This window comes from Homo sapiens, chromosome 15 (assembly GCF_000001405.40).
Source record: "Homo sapiens chromosome 15, GRCh38.p14 Primary Assembly".
In the NCBI taxonomy this organism is placed as follows: domain Eukaryota; kingdom Metazoa; phylum Chordata; class Mammalia; order Primates; family Hominidae; genus Homo; species Homo sapiens.
This window is the reverse complement of record NC_000015.10, coordinates 27446619-27462979: the sequence shown is the minus strand read 5'-3', so window position 1 is coordinate 27462979 and position 16361 is coordinate 27446619. Positions and strand designations below refer to the sequence as shown.

The 16361-nt window shown below is 42.7% G+C and overlaps 1 protein-coding gene across 2 annotated transcripts in view, besides 1 other annotated feature; it reads right to left on the bottom strand.

Moving 5' to 3' along the window:
- Positions 1-16361, bottom strand: part of GABRG3 (gamma-aminobutyric acid type A receptor subunit gamma3) — a 570804-nt gene that overhangs the window by 79005 nt on the left and 475438 nt on the right. The window lies entirely within an intron of this gene.
- Positions 7927-9126: an enhancer, noted in NCBI's record as "BRD4-independent group 4 enhancer chr15:27699000-27700199 (GRCh37/hg19 assembly coordinates)". NCBI's record gives its function as "activates an origin of replication core promoter dependent on BRD2, P300/CBP, MED14 and CDK7 cofactors, and independent of BRD4, by STARR-seq in HCT116 cells {active_cell/tissue: HCT116}" and the evidence as "EXISTENCE:reporter gene assay evidence [ECO:0000049][PMID:35650434]".

Below are 16361 nucleotides of genomic sequence, written 5' to 3'. Positions count from 1 at the left end.
TATCACTAAAGCAGAGACAACGTTCCTGATACCTGCCATGTGTTTTACATCCAATATTTCTCTCTTTAATACATAGTGTTTTTATTGAAATAGGTCACTGAATCATATTTTAAAAATTTCAATTTGTTTATTTAACAAATTATTTTGAAAGATATTCTAATGTTGCATTATTGTCATCTTTCTGGAATTATAGTATGCCAGTTTTGGGATAAATGCCGAATTAAGCAGACAGTATATTAATCTTTGCAGATTTAGTAGGATACTAAATTGTGGTATGCCATGTATTTCACATTGTAGCACAAAAGTTATTTAAAAACCCTCTATATCAAGTGATAGGAGAAGTTAACACTGGAATAAAACACAGTATTTCAACTTACAATTTTAATTAGAATAATAAACACTGGTTTCTTAAAAGTTTGGTAGAACTTATCTCTAATACTATATATAAGACTAGGGCCTTGAAATAATATACACAGAATATTATATATGAGTATCATTTCTGTGTTCTTTCATATTTTAGACATTTCTGTTTTACTTTTCTCTATCCAATCTGCTGGGGCTTGGCTTTTATTTAGCTTCCTTCCAAACCCAGAGTTCCGGTTATTTATTGGTTTTGCTCTGTTTCCATTTTAGTCAGTTCCTGGCACATTTCTAAATGCTGCAGAAATAACACGGATATAGCAAGGTCCCTGCTCTCCTGGGCTTATCCTTGGGGGACAAGATTGCACACAGGCAGATGCTGATAAGCTTAGAGTGGAGGCAGGGGATGAGAGTGGTGGGAGTGAGGAGCCGGCTCAGAGGGGAGGTGATCCAAAAATTCCCTATAAGACCCGGAAGGAGATGAGGACTTCTCCAGGAAACCATCAAAGACGGTGAGCAAGGGGCTGGGTGTGCTTCAGGAAGAACGAGGAAGACAACTGAGCAAGGGCAGATGAGGGAAAGGAGAACTGGTTCTAGAAGCAGCAACTGGCCAAGAAGCATGGCAGACAATGGGCATGTTCACCAAGAATCCAAGAGTCAGGGAAATGAAAATAAATCAACTGAGGTTCACTTTTCTCGTGAGATGGGCAACTTTTAACACATGTATCGAAACATCCAGTGTAGACAAAAGTGGTGAAAAAGAAGTCTCTCTACACTGTTTTTGGCTCTAGTATTGAATGCAAAACCATGGTGAGAATTGAAGCCCGCTGGGCTTATGGGTCTGGCGGGGACTTGGCGAATTTTTCTGTCTAGCTAAAGGTTTGTAAATGCACCAATCAGCACTCTGTAAAAACCGACCAATCAGCTCTCTGTAAAACGGACCAATCACTCTCTGTAAAATGGACCAATCAGCTCTCTGTAAAATGGACCAACCGGCAGGATATGAGTGGGGCCAAATAAGGGAATAAAAGCTGGCCACCCATGCCAGCAGTGACAACCTCCTGGAGTCCTCTTCCATGCTGTGTAAGCTTTGTTGTTTCTCTTCGCAATAACTCTTGCTGCTGTTCACTCTTTGGGTGGGCACTATCTTTAAGTGCTGTAACACTCACCCGAGGGTCCGAGGCTTCATTCTTGAAGTCAGAGAGACCAAGAACCCACCAGAAGGAACCAATTCTGGACACAATGGCACGGAATGCAGCACTATCAGACTAGTCAATGTTTGTAAACTTTGATTTGTGAAATTTGCATGACAGAAATACAGTGCCAGCAAAAAAAAAGTAATAAAAATAACGCACACATGTGGGTTGCTGTGCTATTTTTGACAGCTTGAATGAAGGCAGGAATTCTGCATCCTATGGGAGAGGATGATGCCATTAATAAGGAAGCAGCAGCAGCAGTGCTCTGAGTGGGAAAGGCGCCTGCCGCACATCTTGAACTGCGGGACCCTGAGTGGTGAGGAGGGAGTGAGTGAGTTCATCTTAGCAAAAACAATCTCGTGTGTACAAGTGGGAGAGTAGATATGTTTGTATAAGTTTGCATGAGCAAACAGATGTACAGGAACGAGCAGAGACCTGTTTTAGGGCCTACCAAACCTGCAAAGCATGGAAATAAAAATCTTGAGTCCCTTTGCGGGATATTCCAGGCACCTAGCTATCTAGCCCTGAGAAGTAAATAAGCAACCTGATGGAAGGAACCTGGACCCCCACCAAATGGATGGGCTGGAAGGCAGACCTCAGGGACAGGAGCTGAGGGCTGCACTCTGACTTTGCTCTTTGTTCCCAATTTCTTCCTGAGGGGCCTGGAGGTAGTCATGTCCTCGGGCCAGATCTTAACATTCCTTTCTGTCCACCCCAGATTTTTTAGACAAAGTTTCACTTCCTTAGCCGATCACAAATCAGAGAGTCTCTGAATCCACCTCTGACCTGTAAGCTTCTGCTTCAAGATACCCTCCTGCCTGTTCAGGCCAAACCAGCATGTAATCTCCATGTATTATGTACTGACTTGCAGTTTTGCCTGTAACTTCTGTTTCCCTGAAATTTACCCCTGCCTTTAAAAACTCCTGCTCACAATCCACTGAGGAGGTCAGGTCTTCAGTGTGAGTTTCCTGGTTCTCCTTGCGGGGCGCCCTGCAAATAAACACCCTCCTTTCTCCTGCAGCAAAACTTTGATGTTTGTGTTTGGCCTCAGTGCACCTGCCAAGCAGACCCCAGTCTGGCTCAGTCACACCAACCATGGCTCAGCCTCCAGCAGGGACACGGGTGGCATGAAGAGGAGTGGAAAGTTTTTACTCTGCTTTTAGACTTTGTTTGAATGGTTGCAGTATGCAACTTACCACAAAAAAGGCTTGAAATATTGTTTTTGTTGTTGTTGTTGGACAAAAATATTAACAACTGTGATGTATTTGAGGTACTTCCGGTTATAATACTATTATAATACTTAAATTTATCCAAAGGTTAGCATTTAGGTAAACTCAGTCTTCAGGAATGCAGCTGTGGCTTCAGAGACATGGCCTTCGAGTAATGACAACAGTAATAAGGCAGTCCAATTCCATTCAAAGGACCACCATTACGACATAGAGGGACTCCTGTAAGTCAGCCAACCACACTCACCTTTCCCTCACTCTCAAAATCCAGAAACAAGCGACTATAAATAAATGAAAAAAATGCAAGTTCAACTCTTGGATGATAATGAAAAGTTACACTTGCTAGCAAGAAATGAGAGGGAAAAACTTCTGAAAATTGAACCAAAAGGAAATGTATATCAGTCTGAGGTATTTAATTTTACTTACAAGGAAGTGTGGGTGTGTGTGCACATGCGCAACCATGAAATTGCAAAGACCATCTAATGACCAGTGTTGAAATTTTCACTTTGATCAAGTTTCACTATGCTAATTATATTTTTTTATAGTTTCCTTTTTCTTTTTTAAAAAATATTTTGTCAGGTTTATTGAGATACAATTTACATTAGTATAATCATCCTTTTCAGGTATACAATTAGATATGTTTTTTAAAATTTTATTTTACTGCAGTAAGAACACTTAATATGAGCACATGAGATCTGCCTCTTAGCAGACTGTTAAGTGTGTAATTCAGTAGTGTTACCAACAGGCACAATGCTGTTTCCCAGTTTCATTTTGCCTTTACGGAGGTAGAGGATGACATGGTTTGGGTGATGATACCCTAGAGATGAATTTTTCTTTCCTTTTGGAAAACTCCTGAATTGTCACCTGTGCCACTTGAGGCATGCAGCTGTCCATGCATGCGGTGATGTGTGCTCACCTTGATGCTCAGGGACTCCCAGCAGCAGGAACACAAGACTCTACTGTATGGGACCGAGCCTGCCAAGGCTCTCTTTCTCACCAGGAGAGCAGCATTTTGGAAAGACATAGTCCTCTAAGGTATCACACATCACATCGAAACCTTGTTGAGACAGAGGGCAGGAAACAATCGGCTTTTGAGGTTCACAAACACATGCTGACGGGGGAAGTATTTCTGGGGAAAGGTGGAGAGAGAAGACTTATGGGTGTTGGAAGAATCGAAGAGAAGACTTAAGGGTGTTGGAAGAATCGAGCAATGATGCCTGCAGAGGATGGGGCACACCACAGCCAGAGAGGAAGAGAATGTGCCGGAGACGGGACAGAGACACTGACCAATGGGCCCAGGGCCTGAGGCCAGCTGCACCCACTCCTACATGCCCAGGGCCACAGGAGCCCGAGCTCATCTAGAAGACTGGGCAGATGAGGCTCTCGTCATTGCAATTGCAGCCTCTGCTGTAGTAACCTGCAGCCATTTTTATCTAGCTAGCTCACATTAGAAATTGCCTCTGGAAAATAAGCCTGGATTTTTCTCCTTTTGGTTATTTTTTTTTTTGTCAGAGGCATATGGAGAAAGTGAGCCCTGCTCAGTTCACAGAGCCTTCCCTAAGAGGGACACGTTATTGCCACCCAATCTCTGATTCGAAGGCGCCACCAGGCATTGATTGCCTCTCAGCTGGATAATGAGATGGAGCTTGCATCTCCTCAAATTGCGAGGCAGCTGTGGATACCTCTCCAGACTTGACGAGCTTGTGAACAGGGATGCAATTTCAGGGAAAGATGATTACATTCCCAGTAACCAAGGCTGTATTAAATTAGGCCATTTCGACTATTTCAATCAGGGTGAGAATTGGCTAGACACATGCACGTCACCAGTCAAAAAGTACTATTATTAAATGGCCTTGCATTTCCTTCCCCTAAAGTGTAATGAAGATAAACAGCGTCAAGGCCAATACAATTTATGAGGATGGAGCGATGTCATATTATGTGTCAGTTAGCAGCTTTGAAGAATAGGAGAGACACTTCTCCTACAAGCCGCCTTTTGGTGGCCGCACTTATCACGATCTGCGGGTGCTTTCGGTGAAGATGCGGCCTGGATGTGTGTGCACTGTGTGTGCGCCAGTGTCCAGCATGTGCCACACAGCTGACCAATACAGGGAGGGGGGACTGAGACAGGTGGGGACTCAGAGGAGAAGAGAGAACCCAGAGTCGGGGGGCCTGAGCATAGTTCCTGCACCGTCCAAGGAGTTCACGACAAAAGCAGATGGTCACAGGCTGTTTCTGCCTCCTCTTTCAGCTACATCAATAAGGTCCCACGAGAGACCCCAAAGCCCTGGAGCCTGGAAGCTTTGTTTAAAGATGTGGAGTCAGGAGAACACTCCAATTGAAAGCTGATGGTTTCCCTGAGTGGGAGTCACTGCACAGGTGCTTTGACAAATACATTCTGTCCTTTAGAGCCCCTTGTGAAACACAGGCAGAAAAAGCAGTGGGTACTCGTTATACCACTGGCCAGAAAACACGGCGACTGCAACCATCAGGTCAGAGTAAGGAAGGCTGGACCAGGCGTCTAGGCTGATGTGAGGCTGCAGACTCCAAGGAGGCAGCCCGTCCTAGAGAGGGCAGGGCTGGTACAGTGGATCAATCCTGGCCAAGCCACTTTAGATACGGGGCAGGGAACGTGTCCGTATCTAATCGCAGGTCCTCCTCTGCCAAGTGTGAAGCTCTTCATTTAAAGCCCAGACCCATTGCTGTGTTAAAAGATTGTTTATCTCAAGAAAGAAATGTGCCCAAGAAGATTGTCAGTGAACAAAGATAGAGAAGGATGAAAGAAAAAAGGAACAGGTAGCCTTTGGATGGATGTAGGTCTGAAGGTGATGTTTCTACAAACGCAAAAAACAAAACGTCAAATGCTAGCAAGGACTTAGTCCAAATATCTTCCAAGCCTCCTTCCTGTGAGATGCAAGTAGAAAGGAAATGCCTCCTTTCTCTCCACCACCCCGCCGGCCCTGCACTGTACATCTGTCGGAGCGTGGGCAGTTCTTGCAGCCTTGCAGTCACTCCCAGTCCAGCTGCATGCCGCCACTGTGGTCTCTAATGAATGCTACAACTCCCCACCCTCCACTCACACCCACCGTGTTGGTGTCAAGCTGCTGGAGAAGGTGAGGCCTGCAGCTCCCCTCCTCCAGCTCCTTCTACTTCCACACCCCTGCTGTCACAGGTCCTTCTGAGGTCGGCGTGGTAGGTGGAGCTCGGGAAAGTGGGGAGCTCTTCTGGGGCTGGTAGGATGGCCACTGTGCCTGTGCCTTGGGGCTGGCTCCTTGATCTCTGGGCAGCACTGCAGGTGCCTGTGGTAGGGAGGGCCCTTCTTCCTGCTGCTGCAGGTGGCAACCCCTCTGAGGACTTTGGGCTCCTCCTGGCACGGGCAGCAAGCCTCCTAGGGAGGGGCCCTGATCAAGGATTAAGGAGCAGGCTCTCTTCCAGGCCCACAAGTATCTGAGACCCAGGAGACGGTGGGTCCCATCACCCAGTACAGCCTGCCTATTTCCTCCGCTATGAGCCCTGCAGTCCCCAAACTCCAGGGCAGCCCTGTCACTCTTTCCAGATTGGCCGTTCCTTGGGAAGACATCCTCCTTCCTTTGTCCGTGGGAGGGGAGGGAATGCTGAACCTCTGCATTCTCGACCCACTGGTGGACTCCTGGCCTCTTCTTGTATAATGTGCAGCAGGAGCTGAACTGAATGCATCACAGTCCCTCTGCGGGTCCTTCCCGGGGGGGCCCAGTGCCTTTATTTGGGGTGTGAATAAAGCACAGCGCCACTAAGGATGCCAGGGGACTCACACTTCACCTTCTGCACACCATGCTGGTCACTCAGCGACTCTTGGGAATTAGCAGTTGACCCAGTGTTTTCACAGACATTCTCTCATCTGTGGGTGTCATGACCAACTATTGTCCTACAGTTCTTGAGATCTACAGAGGATGGCAGCTGTCATGGGAAGGGGTAAGACTTGAGGCCTGGGTTTCTACCTGTCCAGGGCAGTAGATGTGACAGCCCAGGCCCAAGCAGGCAGGGAGGTGACCACTGGGAGGCCCAACAGCAGTTACTGGCACCTGGTCATAGTGAGTCAGAAAACAGAATCACCTGCAGGACCAGAAGCAGTGCGGGACCATAGTCACCCAGTTCAGGGCAGGTCTCAATCATAGAAAGCTAAGGGTGGGCCCCAGATGTCAGAACACACTGGGGTAAGATGGCTGTGGACTCTCAACCACAGGCTTCTCAAATTCATGTCCAGTGACCAGGCTTATCCTAGAGTCTGGACACGGGCAAAGTGGGACAGTGACCAGAGCCCCAGGGGTCCCAGAATTGGAGGCAAAGCACCTTCAGAAAGTGTTTACACACAACACACACACATCACACACACTCACAAACCACCTACGGCATACATATACCATGCACATATATACAAATGCACACACACATAGCACACATACACACCACACACACACCACACACAAACTCACAAACCACACATAGCATGCACACACCATGCACATATACACAAATGCACACACACAGCACACATACACACACACATCACACACACAAACCACCCACGGCATACATATACCATGCACATATATACAAATGCACACACACATAGCACACATACACACCACACACACACCACACACAAACTCACAAACCACACATAGCATACACACACCATGCACATATACACAAATGCACACACACACAGCACACATATCACACACATACCATGCAAACTCACGAATCACACATGGCATACATACCATGCACATATACACAAATGCACACACACATAGCACACATACACACCACATACACCCCATACACGAACCACCCACGGCATACACACACCATGCACATATACACAAATGCGCAGATGCACAGCACACATACACACTAGTAGATTAAAGGGCGGAAGGTGTAAGGTTTTGCAGCAGCCAGAGCTGACCTAGTCTTGGGGCTGTTTACCAGCCCCTCATGCTGCTAGCCCACAGGACCGTGATAGCCAGGAGTGTCAGCAGTGTATCACCTTCTAAGACCTCACAAAGTCAAGATTCTGTTAAGGGAAAATGACTTCAATGAAAAGAATATTCTCTTTAGACAGTTTCAGGCCTCAGGAAGAACATTATTAAAATGATAATGGAAAATGTTTACTGAGCTACCTTAAGATGCCACAGTAAATGCGAATGATGCCTATGTTTATTGAAGTCAAACGAATGCACGTAGAGCTAACTGCCTGAAGGGAGAGAAAAAGAGATGAATAATGACCGTGTAACATGCCAGGCATTGTGGTTCATACAAGATTTGGTACAGAACTGAATGAACTCATTATTGCTTCCTGCGGGGGTTACTGCTTGCAGTTTTCTACTTTGTCAACGTACGTATGTGTTGACACTGAAGTTTCTTTGCAAGAGGCAGAAATGAGCGCTTTTCCAAATGTGGACAGGGATGACTTACTTGCTAAGGACTGAAATGCATGAATGGAATACCCATCATAATACAGTAGCTGCTTTGTTTCTGTGGCCTTACTGTTCCAGATAGCTAAAAAACAAAATGTGATGTGTGGGTTTCACCTTTCTGAATCCTCCCAGCATGAAAGAAATGGCATTACATCAGCAGCACTGGGCGTCAGGATGGTGATGCATTACTGAGTCATGAGGCGCCTTGGACTCTGGGACCATATCATTCACTCTGCTGGAGAGATAGTCACACCCGTGTCACCAGGGTGGTCAATGACCTTTCTACCATGTTTTTCAGTTTAGAAGCAACGTTATTAAAAATCCATTACTCAACTTTCCTGCATGTAGACCTCTACTATCAAATCTCCCAGGACAGCCTTGTAAATGCTTAGATAAGGCGTGGGCTTATGATGCTTTGTGGCTTTTCTCCCATTTCTGTGCAGGCAGAGGGACAGACTACAGAATCCATTCATGTCCATGTTGGACCACACGCTTCATTTTTCTGAAGTGTTCAAGGAAATGGTGTATAATTCTTGAGAAAATATTAAAGGCATACCAAAAGGCATATCTTAAAGACAGGCACATACTGGAGTCACATAAACAAGGTACAACCCCAAATTGACCTTGTGCAAGACTTTTTCCTCTAACTTCTGGGTGAGCCTGCTCAGTGTGGCAGCTGCCTCTGTGGAACTACCTCCCGGTGTGGACATGGAGTGGACTGTGGAGCTCTCTAGCCTTAAGACAGGACCACGGAGGGAAGCACACAGGCATAGCTGAGAAACAGTTAAAGGGACAATGGGAATGCTGGACAAGGGAATGGAGAGAAGGGCTTAAGAAGTTGGCTGGGTGTGGTGGCTCATGCCTGTGATACCAGCAATTTGGGAGGCCGTGGTGGGCAGATCACCTGAGGTCAGGAGTGGAAGACCAGCCTGGGCAGCATGGTGAAACCCTGCCAGTACTAAAAATACAAAAATTAGCCAGCCATGTTGGCAGGTGCCTGTAATCCCAGCTACTCAGGAGGCTGAAGCAGGAGAATTGCTTGAATCTGGGAGGTGGAGGTTGCAGTGAGCCAAGATTGCGCCATTGCACTCCAGCCTAGGTGACAGAGTGAAACTCTGTCTAAACAAACAAACAAACAAACAAGAAAAGAATAAAGTCTGTGTTGTTTTGCATTTAAAATCCTTTGAAGGATACTGTGAGATTTCAAAGGTTACTGAGATAATTAAATGAATATGCTTTAACTTCAAGACACATGCAACTATTCTATTCCTGAGTATATGAATAACATGTATTTTCATATTCTTCTAGCTTTATATAATTGACAAATAAATATTGTATATATTTAAGGTGTATAACTTGAGATTTTGATATACATTGCAAAATCATTCCCATAATTAAGCTAATTAACATATCCATCACTTCCCATAGTTACCTTCGTATGTGAGTATGTGTGTGTGAGGAGAATGCTTAATATCTACTCTCTTAGAAATTCCAGGTGTACATTATTGCTCACTATAGTCATGGTGCTGTACATTACATCTCAGAACTAACCCCGCATAACTGAAGTTTTGTACAGTTTGACCAACATTTTCTCACATTCCCTGCCCTCAGCCCTTGGCAACCACTATTCTAATCTCTGCTTCTAGGAGTTGGACTCTTTTAGATTCCACATATAAATGAGGTCATGCAATATTTGTCTTTCTGTGGCTTATTTTACTTAGCATAATGTCCTTCAGGTTCATCCCATGTTGTTGCAAATGACAGGATTTCCTTCCTTTTTAAGACTGAATAGTATTCCTGTGTCTGTGTGTGCATAGACATTTCTTCATCCATTCATATGTGTATGAACACTTAGGGTGACCTTGGTTATTGTGAATAATGCTGCTGCAATTAACATGGAATTGCAGCTACCTCTTCGGCATACTGATTGCACTGCCTTTGGATATAAAGTGGACTCTTGCACAACATGGGTTTGAACTGCACAAGTGCACTTACACATGGATTTTAGTCTGTCTCTGTCATCCCTGAGACAGCCAGACCAACCCTTCCTCTTCTTCCTCCCCCTCAGCCTACTCAATGGGAAGACAATGAGGATGAAGACCTCTATGATGATCCACTTACTTCCACTTTCTGGTTTTCTTAACAACATTTTCTTTTCTCTAGCTTATTTTGTGGTAAGAATCCAGTATATAATGCATATAACAAATGAAATGTGTGTTAATTGACTGTTTTTGTTATAGGTAGGGCTCTCAGTCAACAGTAGGCTGTTAGGAGTTAAGTTTCTGGGAAGTCAAAAGCTATACATGTATTTTCCACTGTGGGGGTATTGGCCCCCACAATCCCCATGTTGTTTAAGGGTCAACTCTATATTGGGATTGCTGGATCATATGACAGTTCTATTTTTAGTATTTTGAGGAACCACCATACTGTTTTCCATCATGGCTGTATCAATTTACAATTCCACCAACAGTGTGCAATGGTTCCCTTTTCTTCACATGCTCACCAACACTTGTTATCTTTTGCCTTTTGGGTAACAGCCATTCTAACAGGCGTGAGGTGATATCTCACTGAGGTTTAGATTTGCATTTCCCCGACAATTAGTGATGTTGACTGTTTTTCATATGCCTGTTGTTCATTTGGATGTCTGCTTTTGAGAAATGTTTAGGTCCTGCGCACTTTTGTTCAACTTAAAAATTTTCTTCCAATTTGACATTATTTTAGGCTTAAGAAAAGTTATAAGAATAGTACAAAGATCTCTCAGATAACCAGCAGATCACCAAATATTATGACAACATTTTACTACATTTGTATTGTCCCTTTCTCTCTCCATCTCTCTCCACCAGATATGCTTATATTTTCTCCATCAGTCAAGTTGCAGCCATGTGTCCCTTGGCCCATTTTTAATTGCTTTTGTTGTTGAGTTCCTTTCATATTTTGGATATCAACTTCTTATCAGGTGTGTAGTTTGCAGATATTTTCCCCCAATCCATAGATTTTCTTTGACTTTGTTGATTGTTTCCTTTGCTGTGCAGGTTTTTAGTTTGATATAATCCCAGTTGTTTATAGTTGCTTTTGTTGCCTGTGCTTTTGGGTTCATATTTAAAACATTATCACACAGATTAATGTCATTGAGTTTTCCCCATATGTTTTCTTCCAGAAATTTATAGTTTCAGTTCTTACCTTTAAGATTTTAATCCATTTTGAGTTAATTTTTGTATATGGTGTGAGATAAGGGTCCAATTTCATTCTTTTGCATATGTCTATACAGTTTTCCCAACATCGTTTATTGAAGAGACTGTCCTTTCCCCATTTCATGTTCTTGTCATCTTTTTTTAAAAATTAATTGACCAGAAATGCATAAATTTATTTCTGAGTTCTCTATTCTGTTCCATTGGTTTGTGTTTCTGTTTTTGTGTCAGTAGTATGCTATTTTTTAAACTGTAACTTTATGATATAACTTGAAATCAAGAAGTATGATGCCTCCAACTTTGTTGTTCTTTATGAGAATTGTTCTGGATATTTGGGATCTTTTGTGGTTCCATATAAGTTTTAGGATTTTATTTTTCTATTTCTGAGAAATATATCATTGAAATTTTGATTGGGATTACACTGAATCACTTTGGGTGATCACTTTGGGTAGTATGAACGTTTTGACAATATTAATGCTTCCAATCCATGAACATGGGGTATTTTTTCATTTATTTGTGTCTTCTTTAATTTCTTTCATGAATATTTTATAGTTTTCAGTTTGGCTACATTTATTCCTAATATTTTTGATGCTATTTTAAATGAGATTGTTTTCTTAATATCCTTTTCAGATAGTCCATTGTTAATGTATAGAAAGGCAACTGATTTTTGCATGTTGATTTTCTGCCTCACAACTGTACTGAATTTGTTTATTAGTTTTAACAATTTGGGGGACTAGGGTTTTCTACATATAAGATCATGTCATTTGCAACCTGAGACATTTTTAGTTCTTTTTTTCAGAAGATTTGGATGCCACCCCCCCACCCCCGACATTTTTATTGCCTTATTGCTCTGGCTAGGACTTCCTATGTTGAACTGAAGTGGCAAGAGTGGACATCCTTGTCTTGTTCCTGATCTTACAGGAAAAGCCTTCAGCCTTTCACCATTGAGTGTAATAAATGTGGGCTAGTCATATATGGTCTTTATTATTTTGAGGTACATTTTTTCTACACCTAATTTGTTGAGTTTTTTCATGAAAATATGTTGAATTTTTGGCAAATGCTTTTTCTGCATCTGTTGAGATGATCATAAGGTTTTTGTCCTTTGTTCTGTTAATGTGATGTATCATGTGGATTGATTTGCATGTACTGAACCATCCTTGGAGCCCTGGGATAAGTCCCACTTGCTCATGGTGTACGATCTCTTTAAGGTGCTGTGAAATTCATTTGGCTAGTCTTTTGTTGAGGATTTTTGCATCTGTGTTCATCGGGGATGTTGGCCTGTCAGTTTTTCTTTGTATTTTCATATTTTGAAGCAACATATGCGGTAGATTAAACACGAAAAAAATGACGGCAGGAGAGGAAGTTGCAAAAGACAGGTTTTTCTTGTGTGGGGAGGGTGTCAGGCCTATGAAACTCCACCCCCACAAGTGTGTGTCTGCCAGAAAACAGCTCTGCTCTTGTGGAGCGGGCAGTTTCTCTGGAATCTCCATTTATAAACTGAACATTTATCCAGGCTTTCTGCAGTGCAAAATGACAGATAGCAGGGTGAGTTTACAAAATCATGTTTCATATATTGTGAATATTTTAAAAGAGTGACATATGTACACCTATAGAAAAAGTACATAAACTTACCAGCACTTTCATATACCTTAAGAAGTGCATTTCATTTTCTACTGAGAGAGTGCAGCAAGCATTTGAGAACACAAGATTATTTCTAATTGAACTTCACACAAATTGAATTGATGAACTTTACACAAATTGAATTGACTGCCGTACGACTCAGCGTGTAGGTGTTTTAATATTTTTAGAGTCAGCCTTCATTGTCATTAACCATGCCAACACCCTAGTACATGTGGATAACTTTTCTTTTACTACTCACATAAACAGACTCATTCTTCTGGAGTTAGAGCCAACATAGCAATTAAATATTTCTTTTTGTTTTTCACTATTTTAACCAGATTGTCTGACTCACCTTGGACAACATGGAGGAATCTCAAAATAATGAAACTCTTTTCTGGCTTAACTACCATCACAAAATGTAAACATTTTTTACATCTTCCTATTTTCATGGCATTTATCATCTTAACTTCAAAATGGAGATTTTTATAAAAATTAGATTTCATTATTACAACCTTATAGAATGGCTTGTCCAAAATAGGGTCAGAGGATAAGGAAACCTTCTGCAGAGCTGGGCTCTTGCTGATTGAATTCTCCGGGCTTCACCAGCCTTCCTGAGAGAGGTCAGGAGTGATGCTAGAGAGGTGCCTGGATGCGGGAGGAGGTGGCTTGGCTGGAGCATGAGGAAGTGTGGGGAGCTGTAACATTCCAGTGCGAGTATGCACAGGCAGAGTTCTGTTGGAAAGGCTACAGCTCCCAGAACACTCCTTTCCTTCACTTATTGGTGCAGGGAGGCACCTATTTCAGAAGAAAAGCAGGGCAAGGATGAGGGATTAGCACGAAAAGAAAGGAAGTCAGACCATGTATCTGTCACAAACACATTTTGGACAGGGCACCCACTCTACTCCCCTCTTGGAGATTCCAATACACTATTACACTGGAGGCTCTTAAAAGACTGATAGTAAAGAAACTTACTAAATTTATTATCCAGCTGTTTCCTGAGTCTGCCTGAAAGAACTGTGAAAGACAATTTGGGAAATCCCTGACCTAGACCATACAATAAGGTGGCTACTTTTAAATAATTTTTATCTGTTTTTTTTTTAAATAACTTCGTAACTTATTTTGTGTGTGTGCATGCACACATGCACACATGTACAGGCATGGCACTCCTATGTGAAATACTTTCTGTAGTTATGTATTTTCTGCTTTTTGTGTAGTTTTGTAAGTTCTTTGAGGCAATCATTTCAATCAACAAACATACATTTTCTGAATATCTTCCTTGTGGAATCTATGACATAGGGCATAACAGAAATCCCTACCTTTTCTTTGTAATACTTTCCCTGGCAGGGATTACATAGTGTGTATCCATCAAAACTTGCCAAACTGATTTGAATCAAGTTTCTTTAAAACAGAATATAGTATCATCACATCCCAGTGCCACGTAAGTGTGCTCATATTCTATTTTTTCAGGCATAATCATGTGAATAATTACGTCATGAGTGGTATTCACATGAAATGGGTTGCATTTACACGTGATTCCTCCTTGTATTCTTCCATGCCATGTCTTCTACTTCCTGGGAAATAGTGCCTTCCAGATCCAGCCCCAGTCACGTGAATTCCAGATCCCATTTGTGCCCTCCACGTCCATTGGGAAAGGGGATGGACAATTATTTCAGTGTGTCTAAAACCAAGTTTGTTCTCTTTATAACAAAATCGTCTTTCCTTCACTACCCCTTGGGTAAATATATTACAGTTTTCTCAGATATGCAGGTAAAAAATATCAGTTGTCACCCATTTGTCCTTTTTTTAAAAAAAACGTGTTTGGTGTTTTACTTAATACATGGCACCTTAATAACAAATGTAAGTTCCTCTATCTTTCTCTGTTACCAGAGACCTAGCTTTGTTTTTATAAATATTTATTTGTGTATTTTATCTTATTATACTTTAAGTTCTGGGATACATGTGCAGAACATACAGGTTTGCTACATAGGTATACACGTGCCATGGTGGTTTGCTGCACCCATCAACCTGTCATCTACATTAGGTATTTTTCCTAATGCTATCTCTCCCCCAGCCCCCTTACCCCTGACAGGCCCTGGTGTGTGATGTTCCCCTCCCTGTGTCCATGTGTTCTCATTGTTCAACTCCCACTTATGAGTGAGAACATGCAGTGTTTGTTTTTCTATTCTTGTATTAGTCTGCTGAGAATGATGGTTTCCAGTGTCATCCATGTCTCTGCAAAGGAAATGAACTCATCCTTTTTTATGGCTGCATAGTATTCCACAGTGTATATGTGCCATGTTTTCTTTATCCAGTCCTTTTATCTCATCATCAGCATGTGTAGGTCTGTGTCAAATCTGTCCCCATCTCTCAGCCCTGTCATCTCTGGCCTAGTTCAGATCCTCCCTAACTCTATTCTGGACAATAGCAGTCTTCTAATTTCTCACTATAATTATGGCATCTCCCCCACTTGGACACTTCAGGTTTATTCACCTTAAGAAACCCTAATTATACAATTTTTCTGACTAAAATCCTCAGTGACTCCCCATTTCCCATAGCATAAATGTCCCCTTGCTAAGCGAGGCCACCAGGCCTGTGAGTATGTCTGCCTACATGCCCAGTCTCAGCCATGCTCGACTCCTTTCCCTGGGGTGCTGCAGGTTAGTCTGATGCTTCTGGGACATGCCTGTCTCTTTTGACTCTGATTTTGCCTATAATTATGTCTCTGGTTGGAATGGGAACCTTCTTCCCAAGCCTTGCCTTACTCCTCCACATAGAATTAGTTGTTCCGTCCTCTGTGCTGCTGGAACATTTTATGAACATTGGGATTGCTGCCCTTGTCTACCAGATGTTAATATTTTGCAGATGTGTCTTCCCATGTAGGCTTTGTGTGGGGTTCATCCCTAGACCCTCAATGCATAGTACTGCCCCTGGTGCATGGGAGGAGCATCAGAGAGGGTGGGAAAGCTAACTCTGTGTGGAGAAGTAAGGCACAAAGTGTGTGAGTCGGTGCGGGCATGAGTATATGTGTGTGAATGTGTGTTGGGGGTGTATGTGTATTCTCACAGAATGCCATATTTCTAGCTTCCTCTGTGCTTTTTAAAACTGAGCCTCAATGGAGGGCCACTGACTCCCCTGGATTCAGAAAGTCTTTCTGTCTCTAAAAGAGTCATCCATCCTAGTAATACTTGAGCACACCTGTCCAATGAGATCAACAAGAATTCCCAAATTGTATTTATATAAACAACAATACCATTCCAAAAATAAAATTAAGAAAACAATTCCAGTTACAATAGCCTCAAAAAGAATAAAATACAT